General features: G+C 40.2%; 2 pseudogenes; both read right to left on the reverse strand.

Moving 5' to 3' along the window:
* On the reverse strand, positions 4,875 to 5,393 carry RPS20P13 (ribosomal protein S20 pseudogene 13; annotated as a pseudogene).
* On the reverse strand, positions 7,143 to 7,859 carry USP8P2 (USP8 pseudogene 2; annotated as a pseudogene).

Genomic DNA, 7,862 nt, shown 5'->3' on the forward strand with positions numbered 1-7,862 from the left:
TTTTTTTTTCCAGTAAGAATGACTACCAAACTGGAGGTTTAATCTAGCAACATGAATCTCAGTCAATGTGTCAGCTCTCCTGGAAGAGAAAGGGCTTTTTCTTTCTGATCAGCTAACGTCATGCTAAAGGGATGTGATAATCTTTACTTCTTCCCCACTGAGGCTGGGTTATCTGGCCGTCTTGAACTGAGGTGACAACTTTTGAAAGACATCCAGATTTTCTACTCTATGGCAACAGATTATTTCTGCAAGTTTTAAAGGCATTTTTAAACATCTTTAAAACCATTTTTTATCTGCTCATTTGGTTTTTAATCTTCACTAGGGTCAGATATTTTTTGTACTTATAGGAATGGCGCTGGGCCCGGGCAATCAGAAATGATTAGACCCACATGGTAACCTGCAGACCCCAAGGTTTGAGTTAAATGGCTATCCCAGAGGCTGCCGAAGATGGGGAGCTGATGTGAAAATTGAAGCAATTACCCAGATCACTCAGGCAGAAGAATGTCTGAGGCTTTTTTTCCCTTGAACAATCCAGATAATTGCTTCAATTTACACTTCTTACTGGTGGTGGAGATGGGTACAGACATAGCTCTCCAGGAATGGGCTGAATAGAGGGAAACGGTGCTTGGAAAATGAGTCTGATAACTCAGGGGGAGAAAACACTGGGAAAAATTCACATGCTTCGGCCTTGATTTCTACCAGCCTCAAGCAAGTCAAAGTGAGACTGTTCATTGTTGCCTGAGTGATCTAGGTAATTCTCTATTTTGTGTTTCATCTTCACAACGAAGCTTTTCGGGCCGTGCAAGTGTTGCTGGTGGAGACAGCTGAATAAATCATGGCTGGGAACTTCAGGTTTGAGACCCTTACCCTGTGCTGGCTGGTGAGTTTCCCAGTTCATTAACCACTCTTGAAGGACCTGCAAATCCTTGCTGTGAGGAGGCCTTACAGGTCAGGAAGGAGAGGGGGCAGGTAGGCGCTCTCCTTGCAGAGCTTACTACACCTGTTAATGTAACTATGAGTAAAAATCAAGGTAGCAGGACTTCATGATTCCCTGAAGCAGATGGTTCATTTACTGAGACCCTCAGGGATTCATTTCTGCAACCGAAAATCCACATTTGTTAAAACAATGGAATGACGAATGTATCAAAGATTTATTGAGTTGCTACTTTGTGCCTGGCATTATGCCAGACCTTGGAATAATCACATAATTTCATATTAATACAGGATTTTTGTTTTCTTTTCTCGTGTTTTCTTGGTGGGGGTAGGGGAATGATTCGTTTGATCTCTTTACAGCCTCTTCCAGACTTTATTTCCAATGCATTTTCTCAAATATTTCTCTTTTCATTCTCACTTATCAAGAGTAGATAATATTTTTAGCACCGTTTCAACAGATGGGATAAAAAAATAAACATTCAGAGAAGTTCAGTACATTTTCCAAAGTCACAAAATTTGTTAGCAGCTGACCTGGAATGAAAAATAAAGGATCCTGAACCAAAGGCTCCATCTGCAATGCAACATCATTTCTTTCAGGTTCGTTACTGATTCATTTGTCTTTGCCATTATCATGATTGTGATGGATATGGATTGATCATCCAGAAAGTATTTATCAAGCATGTAAATAAGATATGATACCCACAACATAAAGAAGCAAGATACACACACACACACACACACACACCCCAACAGCATGAAGAATACTGTGAGGTGAAAAGAACTAGAGAAGAGTATTGGACAATATGAAAGTGATTGCAGGGCAGGCAGAAATCAGATGCTGAGTCACAGGGACCAACGACTTGAGAAGAAAGAGAGCCCTGTGGGCTAGAGCTGTTCAGAAAGATTCCTTTAAATTCTATTTTTTTTAAATTGTGGTAAAATACACACAACATAAAATTTACCGTTTAACCATCTTAAGGTGCACAATTCAGCGGCATTAAGTACATTCGCAACATCATGCAACCATCACCTCTATCTAGTTCCAGCACTTTCTCATTACCCCAGATGGAAACCTCTGTAATCAGGAAGATTTTGTAGAAAGTTTGGTAGAATCTTGAGGGATAGCTAAGATTTAGAGAGGCAGACAGGTGAGAGGAAATCCACAGGGCATATTAGAGTGTGAGCTGATAGCACATGTACAGTGTCTGGAGCATGGTGAGGACTGCAGGGCTTTGTGGAGGAGAGTGCTGTGCAGTAGGTTTGGGTGACTCCCATGGACTTTCCCTGTATAACAGCAGGTTTGCCTTTCCCTTTCTCTTTCAGGATCACCTTCCTTTAACATGTTCGGAGGAAGAAGCGTTGGTCTCACATCCTCCCAAGGGAAGCCCACCTCTCCTCTGTGGTTGCATTCAAAACCCTCTTTCAGCTTTGCTGTGGAATGGCTACTCTGTCTGATCTTATCACTGCTGCATCTCTGGGATTCTGGTCCTCCTGCAACACGATGCTGCTGTTGCTGCTGGCACCGCTGCCATGTCCATCTCAGCCAGGAGCTGGTGGGGCAGGAGACTGTTTTTGTCTTTGCCTTGGGCTGTAATTCCTTCAAGCACCACTGACAGACTGAGGGGTGCAGAGACTTCACTGGAGGAGACTTTATCATGGGGGAAAATCCTCAAAACTAGGTTCCATTTTTCACTTTTCCCAGAGTCCAAGGGTCCAGGATCATCCACAAGACACAATACTCCTCACCAGTACATTTTCTGGATGTTATTTATGGACCAATAAATTTTGAATTGACAGTGGCATCTAGATCAGTGCTGTTCAATAAAAATATCTCATGAGCTACATATGTAATTCAAACATTTCTGGAAGTCAATGTAAAAAAGGAAAAAGAAACACAGGTGATGTTTTATTCAATTATTTAATATATTTTATTTAACCCAATATATCCAAAGCATTTCCATTTCAACATGTAACCAATAAAAATAATTATTAATGAAATATTTTACAGTCATTTTCACACTGTCTTCAAAGTCCTGTTTGTATTTTACACTGACTGCTCATTTTGTTATGGACATTAAATTTTTATTAGAAATACTTGATCTGTGTTTAGATTTTATAAAATTTACAGTTGAAAATGTGGATTTACCAAGTTGTTCTAAACACACTTAAAAGTTTCCAATAACTCAATCAGGTATCACCTTCTAAATTTAAATTGTAATTAATTAAATGAAATAAAATGAAAAATTCAGTTTCTCAGTCATACTCAACCCATTTCAAGTGCTCAGTAGCTATTTGTGGCTAGTAGCTATTGTCTTGGACCATGCAGATCTAGAAAGTCTAAGACCAACAGCACCAACTAATTGCCACGATTATTTGATTTGCTTTGTGTCCAAAGATGATTCCAGGTTAGTCCAATGATAAAAATCCTTGGCTTGACCGTCAAGTTTTTTGCATGATTGGATCCTAAATTGCCTTTTGACTGAATTGCTTATTAATTCCACTCTAGTCACTCAGGCTTCCTCACTGTTTTTGGGCACGTAAACTTAACGTGCACTGTGACTCTTGCTGTCCTCCACCTTCAAGATTTAAAGAACAGGCAAGTTTATTGGCTCATGAACAAGAAGTCTAGAGCACAGTGGGCTTTGGTTTTGGTGGATCCCAGTGGCTTGATCATGTCACCAAGGACCCAGCCTCATGGTTTTTGTCATATGCATCTTTGGCTTCATCTCTGGTCTAGTTTTCCAAGAAGTCATAGAGTATTTCCTATAGCAATTGGAGCTGGATGTTATCCTCCAGCTGGAGATGGAAAGGCAGAGTAACACAATTTCTTTCCAAAAATTTGGCAAACTTTTCCTTTTGTCTCCTTGACATTTATCTTGCTCATCCCTGAACCAGTCACTGGGAAAAAGAATGGGGTGGTCACGTTTGACTGAGGCTAATCAAGACCCATTCTTGTATTTGGGAACAATTCTCCAAACCACATTCTTCCTACACAATAGGAGAAGGGGGAAACACATCATCTCAATAACCAAAACACCTCTTTTTGGTTTTTCACTTCTTTTATCTTTTTTTATTGTGGTAAAATAGATACAACATAAAATGTACCATTTTAACCATTTTAAAGTGTACGGTTCGGTGGCATTAACTATGATTACACTGTTATGCAGTCATCACCATCATCTATCTCTAGAATATTTTCCATCTTCCTGAACTGAAATTCCATACCCATTAAATAATAACTCCCCATTCCCTCTCCCTCCCGTATCCTGGCAACCACCATTCTACTTCCTGTCCCAGGAACTTGACTACTCTAGGTACCTCATGTAAGTGGACTCATATAGCATTTGCCCATTTGTGACTGGCTTATTTTCACTTAGCATAATGTCTTCAAGCTTCATCTATGTGGTAGCATAAGTTAGTACTTCTTTTTAGGGCTGAATAATATTCCATTGCATATATACACCACATTTTGTTTACCTATTCATCAGTTGATGGACATTTGGGTTGCTTCCATCTTTTGGCTATTGTGAATACTGCTGCTATGAACACAAGTGCACAGATACCTGTTTGAGTACCTGATTTCAATCTTTTTGGGGGTATATACCTAGAAGTAGAATTGCTGGATCATATGGAAATTCTATTTTTAATTTTTTGATGAACCACCATACTTTTTTCCATAGCAGTTGTACCATTTTACATTCCATTAACCATGCACAAGAGCTTTTATTTCTTCATGTCTTGGTCAACACTTCTTTTCTTTTCTTTCTTTCTTTTTTTTTTTTGGTAGTAGCCATTCTAATGGGTGTGAAGTGGTATCTCATTGTGATTTTGATTTGCATTTTCCTGATGATTAGTGATATTGCATACTTTTTATGTGCTTATTGGCTATTTGTATATCTTTTTTGAAAAAATGTCTTTTCAAGTCCTTTGCCCATTTTTTTTTAACAACTGGCGATCAATTTATTAAAATAGTTGACTTAAGCATCTCCAATGATGACTTCCACCTCAACTCCTGGCTCCATACTGATGGAAGTAATCTGCTTAATCTCAGAAGGGCTGTGCAAGTCAATGAGTTGCTTGTGGATTCTCATCTGGAAATGATCCCATGTCTTAGAACCTTCACCAAAAGGAGTTTTTCTTGTAGCGATTCTCGAAGTCTTAGTAGGCATTTGAACTGGTCCTTTCACTTTGAGATTCCTTTCCTTTGCTCCTCTGATCAAGTCAGCACACACCTCCTCCAGGGATTTTAAGCTGTGGCTCATAAACAGTGATTCGAATTCAGTGAATTGCCACCTCCGGCTCCAAGGGTGTTTTTCCAGTATCTTTAAAAGCCACAGCTGCTGCGTGGCTTCCTGACCGACTGGTTCCTTGGCGAGAGCAACAGCAGTGAGTCAGGAGCAGGAGCAGAAGCGGGCAGACCACAGCTCGGCACCACTTTCGACGGTGTCTTCCTCAAAGAGCTCTAACTTTTTTTTTTTTTTTTTTTTTTTTTTTTGAGACGGAGTCTCCCTCTGTAGCCCAGGCCGGAGTGCAGTGGCGTGATCTCAGCTCACTGTAACCTTTGCCTCCCAAGTTCAAGCGATTCTCCTGCCTCAGCCTCCCGAGTAGCTGGGATTATAGGCATGCACCACCACACCCGGCTGAAGTATTTTTAGTAAAGATGGGGTTTCACCATGTTGGCCAGGCTGGTCTGGAACTCCTGACCTCAAGTGATCCGCCCACTTTGGCCTTTCAAAATGCTTGGATTACAGGTGTGAGCCACTGCACCCTGCCCAAGAGCTCTAATTTTTAAATAGCTTATTTACAAAGCACTCTATGCTTCAGGTCAAACATTTGTCAAGCATCTGCAATATGCCAAGAACTATACAGATTTCATTACCTAATTTTAAAATTAAATTAAGACCCAGAGAGGTAATAGGATCTATATAAGAATGCTCGAAATAGTGAAAATAGCCCTGTATCTGGAGGTTTAGCTCTGCCACTATCATGATTTCTACTGTACAATATACCCATGCAAGTCACTTTAAATTATTTCATAGGTTAAAGGCCTTTTTACTAAAAAAGAAAGAAAAAATTTTAAATTAAGTCCTTACTCGTGCCAGGACCTGTGCTAAAGTGTGTGTGTGTGTGTGTGTGTGTGTGTGTATATATATAACGTTTCTCATTTAAATCTCCTGAAACCTCTGTAAGATAGGTTCTGTTATTATCCCCATTTTACAGATGGAAACATGAGCTTAGAAATGCTAAGTCACTAGCTAGAAATAATGCAGCTAGTAGGTGACAATTATTTGAATAGAGTCTGACATCAGAGACTGTACTCTTTAAAGCACACACACAGTATTTGGATACTCTTGTATCACAGATAATATAGGGAATTTCAACATGTAAAACAATTCAATTAGTTCACAATTTTAGTCAATTTGGTACATATCATTCACATGCTTATAAACAGAAAATAATAGGAAAAATCAGTCAACAAACACCTGGGGAGAGAGGGAAAAGGCAACTTCATTTCTCTTTTGATAGGATTCTAAATACCACAAATAGGAGAAAACAGCCAAATCAAAAGTTAGGAAATCTGTAACTTCAACCTTCATAAAGCGTAAAGTGTGTCTTTAAGAAGCAAAGATTTAGGGAAGTGCCATTTGGGCACCTCTCACTCTCAAAAATGAGAGAGCTGTTCTCCTTTTTCTTTTTTTTTTTTTTTGCGACAGAGTCTCATTCTGTCACCTAGGCTGGAGTGCAGTGGTGCGATCTTGGCTCACTGCAACCTCCGCCTCCCGGGTTCAAGTGATTCTCCTGACTCAGCCTCCTGAGTAGCTGGGATTACAGGCGCATGCCACCATGCCCGGCTAATTTTTGCATTTTTAGTACAGACAGGGTTTCACCATTCTGATCAGGCTGGTCTCAAACTTCTGACCTTGTGACCCACCTGCCTCGGCCTCCCAAAGTGCTGGGATTACAGGTGTGAGACACCGAGCCCGGCCCTGTTCTCCTTTTTCTTTCTTTTGCCTATTAAACCTCTGCTCTTAAAACGCACCTCCCCCTCTGGCCCTGCCCCCCCCCAAAAAAAGAGGCAAAGATTTAAAAAGTTAACAGGAAAAGACTACTTTATCACATTTAGCTTGAATGCTAAGTAGTAACATTTACTAAGGTCCACAGTTTACTGCTTACTACACAGTTTACCACTTTACTACACAATAACCCACCCTGGACTGATGGCTTCTTCAGGAACACTGAGAGAATGTAAAATACAGGAATCCTGATAATTCTGCATTCTTCGAGCAATCATTATAATCAAGCTGATGTTTTTATCCGTCATCATTGTGTATAGTTCCTTTGTTGTAATTGCTCCTTTCTCTTTGGTCTCACATTTTTTCACTCTTTTCACCATTGCTCTTTTGGGTTTTGTCTTTGGAATCCAATACATTCTCCAAAGAAACTTTAGCCAATGTGCCACCATCCTCTCTTCCTGTTTCCTGCCTTTTTTGTTGTAGTTGCTGTGCTTCCTTCTGCCTGTCCTTTTCCTCAAGTTATTTCCGGACTTCAGCTTCTTTATATCTTAGTTTAAGGCTCTCAGAGAGTCTTTCAGCTTCTTCAATGGCTTTTTTGATGTTTGCAGTTCCAAGTATTGAATGGACGTAATCCTCTTAGTGCTTATTTTCTCTGGTTTAACTTCTGTCTTCTTATTGAGGTCTTTTAGTGAAGAACTCAGGTAGAGTTCTTTAGGAACTAAAGCCACAGCAGGCATGGTGAATTATCTTTACTTTTCCACGTTCACGATAGATGCTATATTTCCTTAAAAGTAGTTTTTTCCGTGGCGTCGGGTGCGCTTCACTAACACCAGCCTTCTTGCCAAAGGCCCATCTCCCAAGAACTCGAGGGAGAATTAGCCTTGGCTACCAAGATGGAATCCAGCCCAGCTCATC

Source organism: Homo sapiens, chromosome 2, assembly GCF_000001405.40.
Source record: "Homo sapiens chromosome 2, GRCh38.p14 Primary Assembly".
Lineage (NCBI taxonomy): Eukaryota > Metazoa > Chordata > Mammalia > Primates > Hominidae > Homo > Homo sapiens.